Source organism: Homo sapiens, chromosome 4 (genome assembly GCF_000001405.40).
Source record: "Homo sapiens chromosome 4, GRCh38.p14 Primary Assembly".
Lineage (NCBI taxonomy): Eukaryota > Metazoa > Chordata > Mammalia > Primates > Hominidae > Homo > Homo sapiens.
The window spans coordinates 53,065,344-53,089,253 of NC_000004.12; the positions used below are offsets into that span (position 1 = coordinate 53,065,344).

The 23,910-nt window shown below is 36.9% G+C and overlaps 1 protein-coding gene across 6 annotated transcripts in view, besides 1 other annotated feature; it reads right to left on the minus strand.

Moving 5' to 3' along the window:
• SCFD2 (sec1 family domain containing 2) overlaps positions 1 to 23,910 on the minus strand; it is a 493,080-nt gene that overhangs the window by 192,362 nt on the left and 276,808 nt on the right. The gene's annotated exons all lie outside the window — the stretch shown is intronic.
• Positions 10,773 to 12,787: an enhancer, noted in NCBI's record as "VISTA enhancer hs1668". NCBI's record gives its function as "enhancer in: other[6/6]" and the evidence as "EXISTENCE:transgenic organism evidence [ECO:0001131][PMID:17130149]".

Consider the following 23,910-nt stretch of genomic DNA (forward strand, 5'->3'; position numbering starts at 1 on the left):
AGTCTAAATATGAAAGGAAATCTGGAAAGAAAATGAATACTTCTACTGTAAGAACACTTACAATACAAATAATAAGTCAGATGTCAGATTAGGAGAAAGCAAGGAAAATCTCTGAAATCCTGCTGAGAAACTAGCATAGCAAACCGCCAGTAACACTCTGGTTCACCTAAAAGAATTTGTTATTTTTCTTAAACTGTGGTCATAAAGACATTAATTGTTATTCTGTTTTAATATTAATAATATCACACTTCAAAGTATGTCATAGTATCTTTTAGGTCAACATTATTCAAGAGCATTACTATTCTATTCCGAAAGTTTTATCTTATAAAAAAATGATAATTTTTTTCCCATTTGGTTTCTGTTACCATATCTTATCAAAATAAGAGTTTGGCTTTTTTAACTTAAAAAATTAAATACACATAGTGCTTCCTGATGCCATTCCACTACCATACTATGTATTTGTCATTTTTCAACAGTTTTAACACATGCACAGTACAAACTCTTATTTTGGAGAAATAAGTAAGATTGCTGACTGAGGTTTAAAAAAGAAAATGATCAACTGAGCCCTTAAATAAAAATACCACATGCTTTTCATCCATTTTCTCACTACTGTATTCACTGAACAGCTCTTATAAGAATAAAACTTTAAGGAATATGAACTTGTGGCAAGACCAGAAAGAATATTCTGGAACTACGCTTTGAAGTAAAATGATTCCCCTAACATCAGGAGACTTAATACTACAATTTCACCGTGAAAATAATCACAGATGAATGTTCTGACCAGGACTAATTGTCTTTGAAGTTCTCTAAATTCAAGTATTAAAAACAGTGCTTGACAAAACTCTTTACCTTATCAAAAAGTTACAAAGAAAACAACTTGTGGGCAAGGCTCAATCTACTTTGGCTTGCATATAAAATCAAACCTGTAACATTAAGCGAAATTAAAAACTGTACAAGAATCATGTTACTAAGGCAATGTAAATTTGAGAGCCTGACCTTTGGTCCTTATTTCATAGTTACCAAGGTGACAAAATAACTGCTGGGTGACAGTAGCCACTTAGCAATCAAAATCAGAACAGTCAATGTATGTGCTCTTTCCTTGTGATTGTTTTATGGTATGTGTTCAAATTCTGTACCAAAAAGTACAGCTGTAAAAACAGATTTTATGGTGAAACAAAACATACAAAAAATAAATATTATAGGTCCAGCAGAACATTCACTTGCACCTGTATGGGTCCTATGAGGTGTTTGGGAGTTGTAACATTAAAAACTGAAGGCTTTTTTTAGTGATCTGGGCCCCCACCCAACCAACAATATTAGAGTTTTAGCACATTCTGTTCCATCTGCCTAGAAAACCTTTCACTTTCCCTGCCTATTTCACGCCAACTCATCCTTCAGATGTCAGCTGAAGTGTTATTTCCCTGGGGATGTCTTTCCTGACTCCTTAGATTCAAACCCTCTCCATAATATGTGGAGATATGTTATTTCCTCTCCTCCACAGCACTTGTCACAGCAGCAACTTTACATTTTTATACGTAGCAGTTATTCAATCCATGCTCTCCCATTAGAATGCAGGCCTCATGAGGAAAAGGGGCTGATGATGCTCATTCCTGCCATTAAAACCCTAGAACCTAGCACAGAGCTGGGCATGCACTTATGCTTGTTTATGGAGAGATGAAAGGCAGAGGAAAAATAATTATAGTTAATTGGTTAGCCAGTTACTACTGGTTGGTTAGGTAATGATAACTAGCATTCTACTTCAGGTCAAACAAAGTAGAATGCTACCTCCTCCACTAATCTTACTTGGTTTCCTTCTACTTTTTATCTTCTTTCTCCCTGTAGCCTCCTGCTATAGGGACCATGGAGCAAAATGTACAGGATTGGGATGGAGATCTCAACCCTGTGTATCATGGCCTTGTAGTGCCTGTACTCATTTCAAACATGCTTTACTCATCCTGGGCCTCACACCTTTCTTTTGGGGAATGTGGTTAGTACTCAAACATACATTTCAATCAAGGCTCTCTGGGGTCAAGATCACACCAAAAGAGTGGCTGTGATGTCACTGTGGCAGCCTTTCAGAATGGGTATGTGCATTTAATATGGTTCGGCTCTGTGTCCCCACCCAAATCTCACCTTGAAGTGTAATAATCCCCATGTGTCAAGGGTGGGACTAGGTGGAGATAACTGAATCATGGGACGGTTTTGCCCATGTTGTTCTTGTGGATAGTGAGTAATTTCTCATGATATCTGATGGTTTTATAAGGGACTTCCCCCTTCTCTTGGTTTCATTCTTCTCTCACCTGCTGTCATGTGAAGAAGGACATGTTTGCTTCCCCTTCTGCCATGATTGTAAGTTTCCTGAGACCTCCTCAGCCATGCTGAACTGTGAGTCAATTAAACCTCTTTTGTTTCTTGGGTATGTCTTTATTAGCAGCATGAGAACAGACTAATACAGTGTTGAACACAACAAAGGCTCTGAGAACAGAGGTTATAACCAGCAAATACAGGAATCTAGCAGGTGAATAGTCTGCCTGGTCTATGACTAGGCGAGAGATGAAGGCTGATAGAGTTTGGGGTTCAAGAGGCTAGGAGGAGCCAGCCAGAAAAGAAATCTATAATACCAGATACAACAGAGTTCAGAGTTCTTAGCAAGTCCTTGCTTCTTTCCAGACTATAGACAGAATCATCTTGCTTATAAGCACTGCCCTTATGACTTATTAAAACTCAAATGTTAACATAACATGTTAACTGACATCACCTGTGATCATGAGACAATAAAAGATGGCCAACTAGTGAAAATGTAAAGGGTCTTTCAAAATTTTCATAGATATTTTTAGAGATTTAGGTTTACAGAAATATTAAGAAGAAAGCACAGAGTTCCTCTATACCATCACCCTGACCCACTCCACAGTTTCTAAAGAGTCTGTTTAAAATATACATAAATTTAACTGTCAGAAATAAAATGTTCCAAAATCTGTTCCTCTTGTTTCAAATCAATTGGCAATTTTTCTATTTTAGATAAGCATTAGCACCAGTTAACTTATTTAAATGACTTCATGTTTAGTTTATTTTGAAAGAAAATTTAGTATTGATGAAGGAGAGAGGGAGAATAAGATAGAGAGGAAAATTCAGACCTAGTCTTTGTACTCAAAGGTAACTACAAAAATGTGTTGGTGCATACCTTTCAATACTTTTTCCTGTGTATATATTTTTAATTTTTAATATTCTACATAGTAACCAAATATTCTGCATATTATTTTGATTAGATGATAATTATCCATATAATAGAATATCCTGGCCATATTTGTACTTTATTAAGTATTCTTCAGCCTTATTTTTAAAGGCAGCATAATATTCCATTTTATGAATAACCATACTTTATTTAACCAATGTCTCCTAGCTTTGGACATTCAATATTTATTTGTAAAATTTCAAGCATCTATCTTCCCCAATTCATTCTTTTACATATATTTAAAAAACAGTACTTTGTAGGGGTGGAAAACCCTGCAGTGAAACATCAGATAAAATGACCCTTGTTTAACTTTAGACGGATGTGCACAGTCCAAGGCCAGCAAAGTGATAAATGGGTTTTGGCAGCTCATTCTCCCTACCTTAAGTAATATTACAATGTGTCATTGGAGTGGGTCATTTAGAACAGGAAGCCAGGGACACTCTGTGGTATTCTCCCAGGGTAAATTCACAGATACCTCATAGAAGGCTTTGGCAGGATTCTCAGTATGCACAGAGAGGCATAGAAAGTGGCTTTATTTTTAAGGCTCAGATTCAGCTGAAGGATCCGCTAGGGAATCCAGAGAAGGGAATGCCTGGGCTTGGGTTAAAATAGCTGGTTTATTCTTGCCTTCACAGTGCACAAAAGCTTTACTGATTTGCCCAGCAGTCATCTGCTAATCTCACACCTTGGGATAAGTAAGTAACACACACACATCCTCATTATGAATGAGTCCACGACTCTGAAGGGAAGGATATTCAGGAGACTGCAATTCTAATTCACATTAATTTACTACATTTTCATATCTGATTGGAATTCAGTGTAGATATTGCAATTCAGCCCACCATGGGCTGCATACAGACTTCATCAGCAAAAGCAGCAAAATTTCAAATTTCCTGTGAAATCTCCTAAATGCTATGCTTCAAAATCACAGTAGTCAGTCATGGGGTATACAATTTTACTTTCGAGGTGGCTCTTTGATTTTTAGATGATAGAACTCTGTGGTGGAAAAAAGAAAGAATGCTACTTTTGTTTATCAATTTTCTTATAACTTGTCTCCAAAATGGAAAAATGTGCCAGTTTGTTTTTTCCCCCAGTAATAAAAGTAATGCAACATGGTACTATAAAAAATCTATACAATATAGAAAAGAAGCTCTAGACAGTAAAAATCACCTTTAATCCCATCATCCCAAAATAGCTGCTACTATTCAGTTGGATAACTGGTGTGTATTGTTAGAGATTGTTTTCTCCCTGACACTTAAATATTTTAAAAACTATATTAGACATTCTGGCTTTGTAACCTTCCTTCCACTTTAATAATATACATATACATCTTTCTGTATCAATCGATATTTTTATAGCTTCATAATTAACTATTTTTAATATTTTTTAAAGTCCTGACATATTTTTTATGTTGACAATTAAATTAGTAAGACCATTTTGAGGGAAGGGGTCGTGTGTTTCAATGTTGACATCTGGCTTTCTTCCAAAGAGAGAAACTTCTTACTAGTCATTAATTAAAATAAAGAAACCAACCACTTATAGCTACAAATTTCTGCATCAGCAAAGAAAACTATGCACAATAAAAACAAAAATAAGACCACTAAAATGTCTAAAAACAGCTTGCTTTCTTAGAGTTGGTTTTATCAGTTGTTGACTTTTGAAATGAATTAAATTAGGATTTTTGACATTTTATGTGTTGTTCAACATGTGCTACTTAAAACTAGGTAAAAATTAAAAGATCAGATGATTGTACAAAGCAAAAGCATTAAAGCAGAAATTCAATTAAACTAAAAAAGATGTTCACTAGGCTTCATTAAATTGAAATTAAATTAATTATGAAAAGCGAAAGTTAATTTTTAATTCTCAAAAAGAATCTTAATTTGTATCCAAAATGATGAAGGAAAAGGGTAGATAAATTTTAAATTGTTTAGGAATCATTTAAGTAATAGATCATAAGTAGATGCATAAGAAATAAGTCATTGACTTATGATGTGTAAAGTGATTGATTTAAGAGAGCAAATTAAAATGATAAACATTATCAACTGGTGTCTGTGCTGTGTACATAATAGCACCAAATCTGCATTTACTGGTTGGCTGATTATGTCCTACTTTTCTGTTCACAGCACAGGTAGAAGATGATCTAGAAAGATGCTTTACTCTATAGGTTTACAGAATAAAACGCCTGATTCCACTTTGAAACACTGTTTTCTTAGGTTTATACATTAAAATACATCTCTTTGAGATTCTGATGAAAGTCATAGATTCCTTTTCTCTCTATAAAAATATATACCCATATTTTATAGACATAGAACACTCTCCCATTAGGCGCTCTTCTTTCTTGCTTACTAATGAAACTCTGAGAATAAAGACTATGTTTCCTAGTTGCTCTGTTAGCTAGATGTGCCATGTGACTAAGTTTTGGCCAATGAGATATAAGCATAAGTGTCATATTCAACTTCTAAAGAGTGTCCTTAAAGGTCAGTAGCATGGCCTTCTTTCACTCCCTCCTCCACTTCATCTTTATTGTTGGCTCGAATGTAGATATGACAAGTTGGAGCTTGAGCTGTCATGCTGAACTATGAGAAGGAAGCCATAGGCTTAGTGAAGTAAAACAGCAAGAGAGGAGGAGCTTCAGTCCTTGATGATTATGGAATTATCGTACGCATCCTGGATGAATTTTCTCTGGAGTCTGTACATTAGAGAGGGAAATGAACTTATATTTTATTAAGCCACAGTTCCTTGTAGGTGTTCTGTCACTCACAGCTGAGCCTAATATTAGGTGATACAGGTATAAACACATACAAGGTTACATATAATTTTTTGGAGGGAGGTGGTCCATGGACCCCAAATTAAGAATATCACTTTAGAAATATATATAAAAGGATAACCACTTAATGTTTGTACTTTGTAATTAACAAATTTTTCTTCACATCCATTATCTTTCTTAATCTTCACAATCATCACAGAAATAAATATCATTTTTAATCCCATCTGTTTATTAAGAAACAAACAAAAAAATCCTGAGGCTCAAGGCATGTTATCTTGCCAAAAGTTAATAATGCAGTAAAAATTATAACCAATGTGAATGATTCTAAATCCCATGGTCTTATCACTATTCCAATGACTGTAGTACATGTACAGGTATCCTCCAGTTTTGTAAAAAAAATAAAATAAAAAATCATTCTTAAAAAACATGTAAGAAAGGCAAATGTATGCGACTTAAATGTAAGAATTATATTCTAAAAGGGGGATTTTATTCCATATAACTAGAAACATTTTAGATATTATAAAAGCTTTATTTTAATAAAATTGTTTCTACTTTTTGATACCAGATAGTAATATAATTTGCACATAATTATTTAAAATACAGAAGGCCAAACAGTCCTTGTTTAATGTGCAATGCTTCACTACCACCACCACCCTTTCTTCTGGTGACAGATCCTATTATACCTTCAGTGGTGTATACCCCACGTGCTTCCATAACAACTTTACAACTAGAGCTGGTGGGACAAAATTGCTTCTCTGGTGGATGATATGAGTCCAGAATCTCAGATACTTAAAGAAAATCTCATGTGCAACAGATCATCACCTACACCTAAGAAGAGGCCCAGATGAGAGACAAAGATGGAGAGAGAAAGGGTACTGTTAGCAATCCAGGCTCTGGTGTTAGTGATACAGGAGCTAGAAATAACTTATTCAGGCAGATAGTGAGGATAAAAGAGTCCTCAGCAGAATTTCCCTTTTAACAAACAGCAGCCCCAAATTATTTCTTTTTTAACAAAGAACAGCCTGAAATATCGAGCTGCAGACATAGATAAGCAACCTGGAAGCTTGCACAGGTGAAGGTTAGCAGCTGTGCCAACAGAAACGGGCTACCTGGGGTTCAAGTATGTTCAACCTGGAGGCTCCATCTTCCCTTTCTTTGTCACCCCGTGTACAGTGAAGAAACAGGCAACATGGCACCAACCAGGCAAAGAACCCAGAGAATAATAAAAGATTAGGGGGGGGAAAGCCAGGTTTTCACACCTTATTCAAACAGCACACCTAGTCCTAACTAGTTTTTTGTGCCCTATGCAAATGACACACCTGGTCCAACCAATCTTTTGCACCCTATGTAAATCAGACACCGCTTCCTCAACCTCATCTGTAAAACTCACTGCATTTCACCGTGGAAGTGGCAACCGATTTCCCTGGGACCCTTCTCTGTAGCAAGAGAGCTCTTCTCTTTCTTTCACCTAGTAAACTCCCACTCCTAAACTCACTCCTTGTGTGTCCGCATCCTAGTTTTCTGTGGCCACAAGACAATGAATCTCAGGTATTTACCCCAGACAGTGATGTCGCTTCATTAGTCCCTGAGATGTCCAGGGCTACCCTCACTTTTATGTCCTTTGATTAGACTCAGTCTTCTTCTAATTAAACCACCATTGATGGGTTCTGCAACTATGGATTCAAACAACTGCAGCACAAAAATATTCCAAAAAATAGTGTCTGTACTGAACATGTACATACTTTTTTTCCTTGCTATTCCCCAAATCATATAGTTTAACTATTTATATAGCATTTTCCTAATTATATTTCCTAATTAGGTTACATATAATACCTAATTATATTAGGTATTATAAGTAATCTAGAGATGATTTAAAGAATACAGGAGGATGTGCATGGGTTATATGCTAACACTATGCCATTTTATGTAAGGAACTTGAGCATCCACAAATTTTGGTATCCATAGAAGGTCCTGGAACCAATTCCTGAGGGATGATTGTATGTGTTATTTTTCCCTCTGGAAATGCACAAGGCTTTGAAACTTTTTCACTTTCTATTGCTTGGATAAAGCTAATTTTACAAGCCCAATACAGTTGATCGAGTCCCTATAATTTACCTGAACCATTTTTGCCCCCAGCAGTAAATACCACCTGAATGTGGCTAGCATACCAAACATTCCAAGCCCTGTTGACCCTCTCAACACTGCATTTGGACTATCCTCTGAAAATGAGATCAAGATGCTGAAAAGAAAAGGTGGAAGACTTTAGTTTCCCTGCCAAAAGATCTGCAGACATGAGTGGGCATAATGACGTACAGACATACTTCAGAGATACTGTGGGTTTGGTTCCAGACCACTGCAATAAAGTGAATATTGCAATAAAGTAAGTTGCATGAATTTTTTTTGATATAAAAGTTATATTCATAGTATGTTTTAGTGTATTACATATGCAATAGAATTATGTCTAAAAACAATGTACATACCTTAATTAAAAATATTTATCGCTAAAAATGCTAATGATTATCTGAGCTTTCAGTGAGTTGTAATTTTTTTGTTGGGAGAGACTTGCCTTGATGTTGATGGCTGCTGACTGATCAGGGTAGTGGGTGCTGAAAGTTGGGATAGTTGTGGCAATTTCTTAAAATAAGACAACGATAAAGTCTGCCTTATTAACTGACTTCCTTTCATAACAGATTTGTCTGTAGCATGTAAGCACCACAGTAGAACTTCTTTCAAGATTGGAGCCAATCCTCTTAAACACTGCTGCTACTTTATTAACTAAGTTTATGTGGTATTCTAAATCCTTTGTTGTCATTTCAACAATGTTCATAGCATCTTTGCCAGAAGTAGATTCCATCTCAAGAAACAACTTTCTTAGCTTATCCATAAGAAGCAGCTCCTTATTTGTTCAAGTTTTATGGAATTTTAACAATTCAGTCACATCTTCAGGCTCTGCTTCTAATTCTAGTTTTCTTGCTGTTTCTACCACATCTGCAGTTACTTCATCTGCTGAAGTCTTGAACCCTTCAAAGTTATCGATGAGGCTTGGAATGAATGTCTTCCAAACTGCTGTTAATGATATTTTCACCTCCTCCCATGAATCACAAATGTTCTTAATGGCATCTAGAATAGTGAATCCTTTCCAGAAGGTTTGCAATGTACTTTGCCCAGATCCATCAGAGGAATCACTACCTCTGGGAGCTATAGCCTTAAAAAATGTATTTCTTAAATAATATGACTTAAAAATCAAAATTACTCCTCAATCCATGAGCGACAGAATGGATGCTGTGTTAGCAGGCATAAGAACAACATTCATCTCCTTGTACATCTCTGTCAGAGCTCTTGGGTTACTAGGTGCATTGTTAATAAGCAGAAAAAAGGAACTTTTTTTTCTGAGCAGTGGTTCTCCACAGTAGGCTTAAAATATTCAGTAAGCCACGCTGTAAACAGATGTGCTGCCATCCAGGGTTTGTTGTTCCACTGACAGAACACAGGCAGAAAAGATTTAGCATAATTGTTAAGGCCCCTAAAATTTTCAGAATGGTAAACGAGCATTTGCTTCGAGTGAAAGTCACAAGCTGCATTAGCCCCTTGAAAGAGAGCCATCCTGTCCTTAAAAGCTTTGAGGCCAGGCATTGGTTTCTCTCTACCTATGAAAAGTCCTAGATGGCATCTTCTTCCAATAGAAAGCTGTATCATCTACACTGAACATCTGTTGTTTAATGTAGCCACCTTCATCAATGATCTTAGCTAGACCTTCTGGATAACCTGCTGCTGCTTCTACAACAGTATTTTCTGTTTCACCTTGCACTTTTATGTTAGAGAGACAGCTGCTTTCCTTAAACCTCATGAAACAATTTCTGCTAATTTCCAACCTGTCTTCTGCAGCTTCTTCACCTCTCTCAGCCTTGATAGAATTGAAAATATTTAGGGCTTGCTCTGGCTTAAGCTTTGGTCTAAGGGAATATTGTGGCTGATTTGATTTTCTATCCAGACCACTCAAACTTTCTCCATATTAGCAATATGGCTGTTTCAGTTACTTATTGTTTGTGTGTTCACCGGAGGAGCACTTTCAATTTCCTTCAAGAACTTTTCTTTTGCATTCACAACTTGGCTAACTATTTGGTGCAAGAGGCCTAGCTTTCAGCCTATCTCAGTTTTTGACATGTGTTCTTCACCAAGCTTAATCATCATTTCTATCTTTTGATTTAAAGTAAGGGACATGTCATCTTTTCACTTGAACACTTAGAGGCCACTGTAAGGCTGTTAATTAGGTTAGTTTCAATATTACTGTGTCCCATGGAAGAGGAAAGTCTAAGGAGAGGGAGAGAGATACAGGAACAGCCAATTGGTGGAGCAGTCAGAACACACACATTTATTGATTAAATTTGCTGTCTTACATGGGGGTAGTTCATGGTGCCCCCAAACAATTATAATTGTAACAAAAAAGATCACTGATCACAGATCACAATGACAGATATAAAAATAATGACTAAGTTTGAAATATTGTGAGAGTTACCAAAATGTGACACAGACATGAAGTGAGCATATGCCGTTGGAAAAATGGTGCTGATAGACTTGCTAGACACAGGGTTGCCAGAAATCTTTAATTTGTAAAAACAAAACCATACAAAAAATGCAATATGTGCACAGTGCAATAAAGTGAAGCTCCATAAAACAAAGTGTACCTGTATATGTGTAGGGATTATTTGCCCCAAAAAAGTAGTTTTATAGCAAAAGGTATAATTTCTTAATGACATTTAATGAAATCTGAGCCTAGAAAGGATTGTTCTCCTCAGTCCTAATTTTCATATATTACAAGAAAAAATTTCTATCACAGTTACAACTTTTCACTTGGACATCTGGGCTGGTTATTCCATCCCCTTTTGGTCTTTTCTAAAGAAATCTTTTATATACAAAAACATTCAGTTATTTTCTTTTGGCTAAAAAAATTCCAATTTTATAAAGTAGGTGTTCTCTACAGCATCAAGGTTGATGAAAACCATACCCTTGAACAGGAAGTTCAAAAGACAGAATGGCAGGCAAGAGCGGACCCATCTGCTATGGAAACATGTTACCATCCTGCAAGGCCCAGAACCCCTGACAAGAGCACACCATTATTTATGAAAAGCCTCTGCTCCCTGGCTCTTGTCAGACTCATTCCCAAGCCACTCCGGGGCTAAGCAAATGCGCTGATATCTAGTTGGCCTTGTGTCCTCGTAACTGTCAGGAGCAGAGGTGTTGGTGAAATATTAAGAGGAAAATGAGGTGGACGGACCAATCAGTGGCAAAAGCAGTAATTTTAAAAGCTGTGAGGAAAAAAGGACCTGCCAGGTCTGAGCATTGAAATATAATTCTCCATCAAATTTAATGAACCTTTAAATGGTGATGAGCAGGAGCTCCCCAGCAGCCTTTCTCTACACCGGCTCAAAGTAGGCTGCCAGCCACACTTGCATTTATCCAACACGGGCTGCTTCCCCTTCCCTCTTCTTTGAGAACAAATTATTTCTTCATTCAACAGCAGAGTAGAACTTGGAGAAAATATGCTTGGTAATTGCCCTAATTTAAACGTACCAGAAGTCATTTTACATATTGCTCACTCAAAGTATGCCAAGTAAAGGTCTAGGAATACAGTTCAGTTCTAAGATGTATATCTTGTATATATCCTTTAAGCACCCAATGGTATCATCATAGAACTTGCATTGTATTTTCTTCCTATAAGGAAGAACACTCCTTGTTCTCTGGAGAAAATCTAGCTTTGGGGGATATAAATATAGGTTATGAGCCTAAGTGTGATCACATTTAATTTTAAGATCTCACAGTGTGGCAAGAAAAATAACAACATAAAAATAGAAGTTCTCCATTTGATCAGCGCATTCAAAACTTTATTAATAGAATTCCTTTAAGTGCTTGTGTTTTATGGGTCATATTTCAGTATTAAGATCTAATTTTTATTTCTCATTTTTGCATATACACAAGTTTTCTGGAAAAATCATGGGAAATTCCAGTAATATTTATACCCTAGTTTGACAAATGCTCAATCATCTTTACTGTATTAAAAACTTATTCTATCTTTCCTGGACTCATGAACATTTATTTTTTATTTATTATTTTTTGAGACAGAGTCTCACTCTGTTGCCCAAGCTGGAGTGCAGTGGCATGATCTTGGCTCACTGCAACCTCCGCCTCCTGGGTTCAAACAATTCTCCTGTCTCAGCCACCCAAGTAGCTGGGAATACAGGTGTGTGCCACCGCACCCAGCTAATTTTTGTATTTTTAGTAGAGATGGGGTTTCACCATGTCAGCCAGGCTGGTCTCGAACTCCCGACCTCAGGTGATCCACCCGTCTTGGCCCCCCAAAGTGCTAGGATTACAGGCATGAGCCACGGCGGCTGGCCTCATGAACATTTATTTCTAATAATAATAAATGAACATTTATTAGGTCATCTTGTCCAATCCTCCTATATCAAGAATGAGTCACAGAACAATTCAGTAACTTGCAGTAGATCACATAAGCTGTTGCTATTAGTTTACTGGATTTTATGTCTAAAATACATAGCACTTTTCTTGGTGATAAACTGTCAAGTTTTTCTCTTTAGGCCAAAATTCTACGTGAGAGCTTGGTGTAGTATGATTAATGTTAAGCTCCAGCATATTTTGGAGCACTGTAAGATCAAGACCACTGGAACCATCATAAGACTTTGTTGATTTTTCGAAATCCTCTGGCATGATCAACAGGAACTAGTTATTGGTTAAATTACAGGAGCAATTTTTTAGCACCATCATTTGCCTTATACTACAATAGATCAATTGCCTTATTAATCTTACTTTATAGACAAGGAACTGAGGCTCAGGGAAGTGAAGTACTCGCCTAGGATCAGAAAGCAGCAGACAATGGGATAAAATTTAAAAACCCAGTCTATATCTCCCAAGCTCACATTCTTTCTACTCTACCAAATTGATTTTAATCTCTATTTGTTGTAGCAAATATTCAAATTACTAAAGCATTCATAGGCAAGAAATCCATTTTAGTTCTAAAAATGTTAAGAGCACAGCCATAATTAATTAATAAACAATTTGTGGCAAAGTTCAATTTTAAAGATTTCACTTTGACAAAGACACAATCTATAATTTAAAAAGTGTGCAATGTGTGCCTTTCTAAACAATAGGGGCTGAATTAGAAGTCTTACCTTCTATAAAAAATCAAGAGGCATTTCCTCGGGCATTGACTCTATGCGCTAGTAATGTTCTAAGTGGTTCAAATATATAATTTCACTTATAATGCTAATAAGGCAGGTGCTATTGCTAGCCACACATTCCAGGTAAGAACCCTAAGGTACAGAGAGGTTAAATAACTTGCCCAGTCACACAGCTAGTAAACCACAGAATTAGAAATGAACCCATGTGATCTGATTCCAATATCCATGGTCTTATCCACAATGCTGTATTTACTAATATAATAAAAAAAATCTATTAAATGGTTATGTCTTGTTCTTTTACTTGCACTTACTCAGCATTTTAGTCAGGGTTCCCAGAGGAACAAAACCAACAGTCCATACCAAATGTTCATTTTACCCCTAAACACAGAGTGATCCTGGTAATTACAAATGGTGATATTTTGTAAAACTCTAAACTAAGAGGTTTAGATTACCTCTGGTTTGTACAAGAACCAAGAGGAGATCTATTATAGGAAGTGGCTCACATAACTATAGAGGTTGAGAGGTCCCATGATCTTTCCTCTACAAACTGGAGAACCAGGAAAGCTGGTGGTGTCATTCAGTTTGACTCTGAAGGCCTGAGAATTGAGGTTGGAAGGGGAGGGGAGACAATGGTGAGGAGGGCTAATGGTGTAAGTACCAACCTGAGTCTGAAAGCCCAAGAACCAGGAGCACTGATGTCTGGGGGGCAGAAGATGGATGTCCCAGCTCAAGCAGACAGTTATTCTGTTCTACTCAGGCCCTTGAAAGACAGTGCCCACTCCCACTGGTGAGGGCGATTACACAGTCTACCAATTCAAATGCAAATTCCTTCTGCAAACAACTTCACAGACAAACGCAGAAAAAATGCTTTACCAGCTCTCTGGGCATACCTTAGCCAAGTCAAGCTGACACATAACAATCATCACATGGAGTTAAGATGAAACAGAATGAGGTGTAAATCAACGAAGAACATAGCATTCTCTTGGATCCAAAAATTTTTTTTATAGAATATTCTGCAATTACTCTATGTGTGCTATCACTGGCTACAATGTGTAGGCAGAGGGAACTAGGAAGATATAGCACTGAGTTTATTGACTTCTTGTGGCTGTCCAAACTAAAAAGTAACAGTGCTCACAGCACCCAATAATTACCATTATATGGTTCCTGGCACAGTGATTAGACTCTTGATAAATGCTTACATTCCCCTTACATTGTGCTTTATAACCTGAATATACTATCCAATTGCAAGTCCTCAACCAAAAGCATGAGAAAGTCACTCTCTCCATTATAAATCATCATTGAGCTAAGACTGCAGGGGATGTTTGATGACTATATGGCATATACAGATACATATCTGTGTGATATAGAAAACATATATAAGATTTATGTGCATAAATATACATTTTAATATATACATGAAGAAATTCCTTTCTTCACTATGGGAATAGTTACGTATTCCTGTTGTGTAACACATATAGACAGATGGTAAGAATTTATATATTTGTTTAAAGGTAATTCCAGTGAAGCTTTGCCTTTGTAAAAGGATAGCAACATACAGAACCAAGTGTTCTAGCAACGAAACATTACCCTCTGCCTCTACTCCCCTTAACAATTGCTTCTTAGTCTAAGAATGATGAGTTCTCATCTCACGTTTAGATTTTTACAAAATATCACCATTTGTAATTACCAGGATCACTCTGTGTTTAGGGGTAAAATGAACATTTTGTAAGTTATGGTTTAATAATGTCTTTCCAATCTCCACTCAGGAATCTAAGACTTTCTGGCTTAAAAGGCATTAGAAGAGATGCTTGGGCAAAACTTTAACTTTGTTGTTTTATAGGATATTTTGGTATAATTAGAATGGGTCATAGCAATAAAAAAACTATTAAATTATGTCCTGTAGTATAAACATTGAAGACCTTATGCTAAAAGTTTGAAGTGAAAATAACGTATATAGAAACAGGATTTTTAAAATGCCTGATAATTTACAGGTTCCACTTACTCCTTAAAACGACCCAGGGTGACAGAAGGGTTTGATAAGCAGGGAGCACACCTTGATAGGCCTTTCTCTCTCTGGCCCAAAAAGAAGTAAAGAAAGGCAATTATTCTTATACTCACAATACAGCAAATAGGGAGGGGTTGTGGGAAATCTTCATTTAACCCCTAAGAACTATTTTTCATGCAATTAGGAGATATGTCAACAACCAGGTTTCAAAACCTCAAAATAAACATAGCACTGGGGATGCACTGGAAATGATGTTTTAATATAAATAGCTGTTTAGAGAATAGTAAAATTAATTTTACATGGCTAACCACTGTAGAAAGACATCTAAAGCAAACATACATGATACAAAACTGCCATATTTCATCAAATCTAAGACATCATTAATTGTAAAATATATCTCAGATGTTAAAATTGGAAAAAAATTGTACATCTTAAAGTAGATGAAATACATTAAGTATATAATAATTCTGACTTCAAGAACTATCCAGTATATTATTTCAATTACTTGTTGCAGACTACGATCCACCTCCTAATGCCCTGTAAATGCAACACATGATTAAATCTATACTTGAGCACACGTGAAGCAGAATTTCAGGCAATTATCTTAGTGTGTGTGTTTGCAACATCTAGGTAATTGTTGTATAATCTATCCTTTATATCCTGGGAAAAACACTTGCTGTCATAAACAACTCATCTTCTTTTTCAAAATTTTTTTATTTCAACTTTTATTTTAAATACAAGGCGTATGTGTACAGGTTTGTTGCATGGGAATATTGCGTGATGCTGAGGTTTGGAGTACGGATCCCATCACCCAGACAGTGAGTATAATACCCAATAGGGAGTTTTTCAACCCACCTCCCTCCACTTTCTACTAGTCCACAATGTCCATTATTCCCATATTTATGTCCATGTGTGCTCAATGTTTAGCTCCCACTTATAAGTGAGAACATGTGGTATTTGGTTTTCCATTCCTATGAACCACTCATATTCTTAAGTACTTTTACCTTTTAATAATAACTTAGGGGGGAAATCAGAACTCTGGATAATTATTACATTGCTTTATCAGGATGACTTTTAGTTTGTTCATTGATTTTTATAGGTTCTCTGTGTTGATTCTTAAAAATTGACACATAATTCACATATCATAAAATTTATTACTTTAAAGTGTGCAACTCAGTGGATTATATTATATTGACAAGATTGTACAAGTGTCATGACTATCTAATTCCAGAGCACTGAAATCACCCCTTAAAGAAACCCAGACCCATTAGTTGTCATTCCCCATGTCCCTCTCTTCTCTACTGCCCACTCCAACCCTCCTCACTCTACCATCAGCCCTAGGCAATATTAATCTTTCTAATCTGTATAGATTTGACTATTCTGGACATTTCATATAAATGGAATCATACAATAAGTGGCCTTTTATGTGTGGCTTCTTTAATGTAGCATAATGTTTTTAAGGTTCATCCATGTTGTAGCATGTGTCAGTACTTCATCTATTTTCATAACTGAATATTGTATGGATATAACACATTTTGTTAAACCATTCATCAGTTGCTGAACATCTGGGTTGTTTCTATTGAGTTACTATGAATAATATTGCTATTAACATTCATATATAAGGTTTTGTGTATAAAAACAGAATCTTATTTCTCCTAGGTATAGGAGTGGAATTGCTGGGCGTATGGCAACTCTTATGTTCAACTTTCTGAGGAACTGCCAAACCATTTTCCAGTCTAGCTCCACTATTTTATATTCCTATCAGCAATGTATGAAGGTTACAATTTTCCCAAATCCTCATCAGTATTTGTTATTGTCCTTTTTAGATGATGATGATTATTATAGCCATGCTAATGGTTATAAAGTGGTATCTCATTGTGGATTTGATTTGCATTTCGCTAGTGGCTAATGAATCTGAGCATCTTTTCATGCACCTACTGGTTATCTTCTATGGAAAATGGCTAGTTAATTTTATGTGTCAACTACACTAGGCTAAGGGATGCCCAGAGAGTTAGTAAAACATTATTTTTATGTTTGTCTGTGAGGGTGTTTGCAGAAAAGATTCACATTTGAATTGGTAGCCTGAGGAAAGAAGATCTACCCTCACACACAGGGGTGACCAAGATTTAATCCACTGAGGTCCCAAACAGAACAAAAGGCAGAAGAGGACCAAATTTGCAGGTCTCAGAGAGCAGAGAGCAAATTTGAGATATCCATCTTCTCTGGCCCACAGACATCAGTGCTCCTGATTCTCAGGCCTTCAGACTCAAACTGGAACTTACACCATTGACTTTCCTGGTTCTAGAGCCTTCAGGTTTTAACTAGAATTATACCACTAGCTTTCATGGGCCTCCAGTTTAAGACAATAGATTATGATATTTCTCAGCCTCTATAATCACATAAGCCAATCCATTATAATAAATATCTGTCTCTCTTTCTCTCTTTCTCTCTTTCTTAATATATATCCTATTGGTTCTATTTCTCTGGAGAACCCTGACTAATATAGATTTTGGTACTGGGAGTGGGGTGCTACTATAACAAATACCTAAAAATGTGGGAACAGCCTTGAAAATCGGTGATGGGTGAAGGCTGGAAAAGTTTTGAGGTGCATGCTAGAAAAAAGGTATATTGCTTTGAACAATATTTCAAAAGCAGCTCTGGTGAGGTCACAGAAAGAAAGAAGAAGAACTGTAGAGAAAGCCTCAATATTCTTGAGAATACTTAATTATAAACAGAATCTTGGTAGAAACATGGATGGTAAGGGCCATTCTTATGAGGTCTCATATGGAAATGAGAAACATCTTATTAAAAATTGGAGGAAAAACATTTAAAGGAAAACTAATACCAGTCCTACTCAAACTATTTTTTTAAAAAAAGAAGGAGGGAATACTTCCAACCTTATTCTGTGAGGTCACTATTACCCTGATACCAAAACCAGACAATCACACATGAAAAAAGGAAAACTGCAGGTCAGTATCTCTGATAAATATTGATGCAAAATCTTCAACAAGATACTAGCAAACCAAATTCAACAATATATTAAAAAGATCATTCATCATTATTGGGGGAACCCACCCCCAATATTTCAACATAGGTTCTTTCTATTTTCCATTAAGTGTCAGCCAGCTGAGAAATAAAGAGAGACAGTACAAAGAGAGGAATTTTACAGCTGGGCCGCCAGGGGTGACATCACATATCAGTAGGACTGTGATGCTCGCCTGAATCTCAGACCAGCAAGTTTTTATTAAGGGTTTCAAAAGGGGAGGGGGCGTAAGAACAGAGAGTAGGTATAAAGATCACATGCTTCAAAGAGCAAAAAGCAGAACCACTAATAAGGGTCTAACAAAGATCACATGCTTCTCAGGGAACAGGACAAAGGGCAAAAGCAGAACCACTGATAAGGATCCAAGAAAGATCACAGGGCAAAGGGCAAAAGCAGAACCACTGATAAGGGTCTATGTTCAGAGGTGCACATATTGTCTTGATAAACATCTTAAACAACAGAAAACAGGGTTCAACAGCAGAGAACAGGTCTGACCACAAATTTACCAGGGTGGAGTTTTTCCCCACCCTAGTAAGCCTGAGGGTTCTGCTGCAGACCAGGGCATATCTCAGTCCTAATCTCAACTGCACAAGACAAACATTCCCAGAGTGGCCGTTTATGGACCTCCCTCCAGGAACGCATTCCTTTTCCAGGGCATTAATATTAATATTCCTTGCTAGGAAAAGAATTTAGCGATATCTTTCCTACTCGCATGTCTGTTTATAGGCTCTCTGCAAGAAGAAAAATATGGCTCTTTTTGCCCGACCCCACAGGCAATGAGATCTTATGGTTGACTTCCCTCATTCCATAAAAATCGCTGTTATTCTGTTCTTTTTCAGGGTGCACTGATTTCATACTGTTCACACATGTTTTACAATCAGTTTGTACAGTTAACCCAATTATCACAGTGGTCCTGAGGTGACGTACATCCTCAGCTTACGAAGATAACAGGATTAAGAGATTAAAGACAGGCATAAGAAATTATAAAAGTATTATTTGGGAACTGATAAATGTCCATATTAATATGAAATCTTCACAATTTATGTTCCTCTGCTGTGGCTCCAGCTGGTCCCTCCGTTCGGGGTCCCTGACTTCCCACAACACATCATGATCAAATGGGATTTATCCCAGGGATGCAAGGATGGTTCAGCTTATGCAAATCAATCCATGTGATGTGTCATATCAACAGAATGAAGAAAAAAATATGATCATTTCAAATAATGCTGAAAAAGCATTTGATAAAGTTCAACATTCCTTCATGATAAGATACCTTAAAAAACTGTATAGAAGGAACATACGTTGACACAATAAAAGCCATATATGCCAGATCTACAGCTGGTATCATGCTGAATGGTGAAAAACTGAAAGCCTTTCCTCTAAGATCTGGAACACAACAAGGATATCCACTTTCACCACTGTTATTCAACATAGTATTGGAAGTCCTTGCTAGAGCAACCAGACTAGAGAAAGAAGTAAAGGGCATCCAAACTGGAAAGAAAGAAGTCAAATTATCCTTGTTTACAGATGATATAATCTTATATTTGGAAAAAACCAAAGACTCCACAAAAACTATTAGGACTGATAAACAAATTCAGTAAAGTTTCAGGATACAAAACCAATATACAAATATCAGTATTATTTCTATATATCAACAGTGAACAATCTGAAAAAGAAATAAAAAAGTAATCCCATTTACAAAGGCCACAAATAAATTTAAATAATTAGGAATTATGTTAACCAAAGAAGTAAAAAATGTCTACAATGAAAACTATAAAACACTGATGAAGGAAATTAAAGAAGAAACATAAAAATGGAAAGATATTTCCTGTTCGTGGACTAGAAGAATCAATATTGTTAGTATGTCCATACTACCAAAAGCAATCTACAGATTCAATGCAATCTCTATCAAAATACCAATCACATTCTTCACAGAAATATAAAAAACAATTCTAAAACTTATATGAAACCACAAAAGACCAAGAATAGCCAAAGCTATTCTGTGCAAAAATAACAAAACTGGAGGAATCACATTATCTGACTTCAAATTATATTGCAGAGCTATAGTAACCAAAATAGCATGGCACTGGCATAAAAACAGACACATAGACCAATGAAACATAATAGAGAATCCAGAAACAAATCCATACACCTACAGTGAACTCATTTTTGACAAAGGTGCCAAAAATATACATTGGAGAAAAGGCAATCACTTCAATAAATGGTGCTGAGAAAACTGGATATCCATATGCAGAAGAATGAAACTTGACCCCTCCCATCTCTCGTCATATGCAAAAATCAAATCAAAATGGATTAAAGACATAAATATAAGACCTACAACTATGAAACCACTACAAGAAAATACCGTGGCAACTCTCCAGGAAATTGATTTGGGCAAAAATTTCTGGAGTAAAATATCCCACAAGCACAGGCAACCAAAGCAAAAATGGACAAATAGAATTAGTTTAAAAGCCTATGCACAGCAAAGGAAACAATCAACAAAGAGACAACCTACAGAATGGGAGAAAATATTTGTAAACTACCCATCTAACAAGGGATTAATAATCAGAATATACGAGGAGCTCGAACAATTGTACAGGAAAAAAATCTAATAATCTGATTTAAAAAGTGGGCAAAACATCTGAATAGACATTTCTCAAAAGAAGACATACAAATGGCAAACAGGCACATGAAAAGGTGTTCAATATCATTGATAATCAGAGAAATGCAAATCAAAACTACAATGAGATATCACCTCACCTCAGTTAAAATGACTTTTATCCAAAAGACAGGCAATAACAAATGCTGACAAAGATATGGAGGAAAAAAGCCCTATACACTGTTGGTGGGAATGTAAATTAGCACAACCACTATGGAGAACAGCTTGGAAGTTCCTCAAAAGACTAAAAACAGAGCTACCATATGATCCAGCAATCTCACTGCTGGGTGTACACCCAAAAGAAAGAAAATCAGTATGTCAAAGAGATATCTGCACTCACATGTTTGTTGTAGCATTGTTCACAGTATCCAAGATTTGGAAGCAACCTAAATGTCCATCAACAGATAACTGGATAAAGCAAATGTGGCAAATATATACAATGGAGAACTACTCAGCCATAAAAAAGAATGAGATTCTGTCATTTGCAACAACATGGATGGAATTGGAGGTCATTATGTCAAGTGAAATAAGTCAGACAGAAAGACAAACTTTGTAGGTTCTCACTTATTTGTGGGTGCCAAAAATCAAAACAATTGAACTCATGGAGACAGAAAGTAGATGGATAGTTATCAGAGGCTGGGAAGGGCAATGGGGGGTTGTGGGGTAGTGGAGATGGTTAATATGTAGGAAAAAAGATAGTTGGAAAGAAGGAATAAGACTTGGTGCTTGGTACCACAACCAGATGACTATAGTCAACAATAATTTAGATAGCTGGAAAAGTATGACTGGATTGTTTGTAACACAAAGAATAAATGCTTGAGGAGAGGAATATCCCATTTCCCATGATGTGATTATTGCTTATTGCATGTATAAAAGTATCTCATGTACCCCATAAACATATACACCAACTACTACCCACAAAAATAAAATTCTTTTTAAAATTGAAGGAAAAGCTATCTTTGCTCTAAAGAGGCAAAGAACCTGGCTGAATTGTGTTCATGTTTTAGCAAAACACTAAAACATAGAAGATAGAACTTCTACAAAACATAGAAGGTAGAACTTGTGGGCAAATAAATTGAATATTTAACTAAAGCTGTTTCTTTTTCTTTTGAGATGAAGTCTCACTCTGTCACCTAGGCTGGAGTGTAGTGGCACAATCTCAGCTCACTGCAACCTCACCTCCCGGGTTCAAGTGATTCTCCTGCCTCAGCCTCCCAAGTAGCTGCGATTACAGGCATCCGCCACCACACCCAACTAATTTTGTATTTTTAGTAGAGACAGGTTTTCTCCATGTTGGTCAGGCTAGTCTCGAATTCCTGACCTCAGGTGATCTGCCTGCCTTGGCTTCCCAAAGTGCTGGGATTACAGGCGTGAGCCACTGTGCCTGGCCAAAGCTATTTCTTTTTTCTTTTTCCTTTTTTTTTTTTTTTTTTTTGAGACGGAGTCTCGCTGTGTCCCCCAGGCTGGAGTACAATGGCATGATCTCGGCTCACTGCAACCTCTGCCTCCCAGGTTTCAAGCGATTTTCCTGCCTCAGCCTCCCGAGTAGCTGGGATTACAGGCACCCACCACCGTGCCCAGCTAATTTTTGTATCTTTAATAGAGATGGGGTTTCACCATCTTGGCCAGGCTGGTCTTGAACTCCTGACCTCATGATCCACCCACCTCAGTCTCCCAAAGTGCTGGGATTACAGGCATGAGCCACCATGCCCGGCCCCAAAACTATTTCTAAGAGAAGTGTTGAAAGTGAGGCTTGGCTCCTTCCGACTGCTTATAGTAAAATAACAGAAGAGAGAAATGACTTAAATATGAAATTGTTAGGTAAAAAAGGAAGCAGAACGTAAAGATTTAGAAAATTCTTAGACTATCCATATTGCAAAACAAGATAACAGTAAAGATGTGACCAAGCAACCATTTGCTAATGAAATTTGTATGGATCAGCCATCTCAACAGAAGCCAGGTATGATCCTCTAAGACAATGGAAGAATGACCCCAAAGATGATTCCAGAGATCATCAGGGCTGCCTTCCTTGGTTTCAAAAGGGAAGACCATCATTGCACAATCAGCCAGATCTCCTCCACCCAAAATAGTGACAGCAGGACTGCCAAAAGGCTTGGAGCCTAAGCCCTGCCTGACAGAGCCGTGGGAGCAGAACCTCTAACCTAGCAGTTCTTGAAGGCAGGAGTCCCACTGTAGTGGGCCTGGAAGGAGCATCAAGCCAAAAAAGATTTTTCTCAAGCCTTAAGATCTCATGGAGTTTGGCTTGTAGCCTGGACTTACATGGGATTTGTTACCCTTTTCTTCTTTGCTATTTCTCCCTTTTGGAATGGATATGTCTATTCTATCCCTGTCCCACCACTGTATTTTGGAAGCATATGGCTTATTTGGTTTCACAGTGTCACAGCTAGGGAGCAATTTGCCTCAAGATGAATCATATCTTGAGTCTCACCCATATCTGATTTAGATGATATTTAGGTGAGACTGTGGGTTTTAAATTTTAGGTTGATGCTGGAATGAATCAAGATTTTGAGGACTGTTGGGATGCAATGTCTTTTGCTTGTGAGAAAAACATAAATTTTGGGAGGCAAGGGGTGGCAGGCTATGGATTGAATATGTATCCCCCAAAATTCATATGTTGAAATACTAATCTCCAATGTGCTGGCATTAGGAAGTGGGCACTTTGGTAGGTGATAAGGCCATGAGGGCAGAGTCCTTATGAATGGAATTAGTGCTGTTATAAAAGAGACTCTGGATAGCACCCCTACTTCTTCTATCATGTGAGAACTTAGCAAGACACTATCTGTGAACCTGGAAGAAGGCCCTCACCAGACACCAAATCTGCTGGCACTTTGATATAGGAATTCCCAGTCTCCAGAACTGTGAGAAATAAATCTGTTACTACAAGCTACCTAGTCTATGGTAGTTTGTAATAGCAGTTCCAACAGACTAAGGCAAATGTCTATTAAATTTTTTGTTCATTTTTTAAATGGTTTATCTTTTTATTGGTCAGT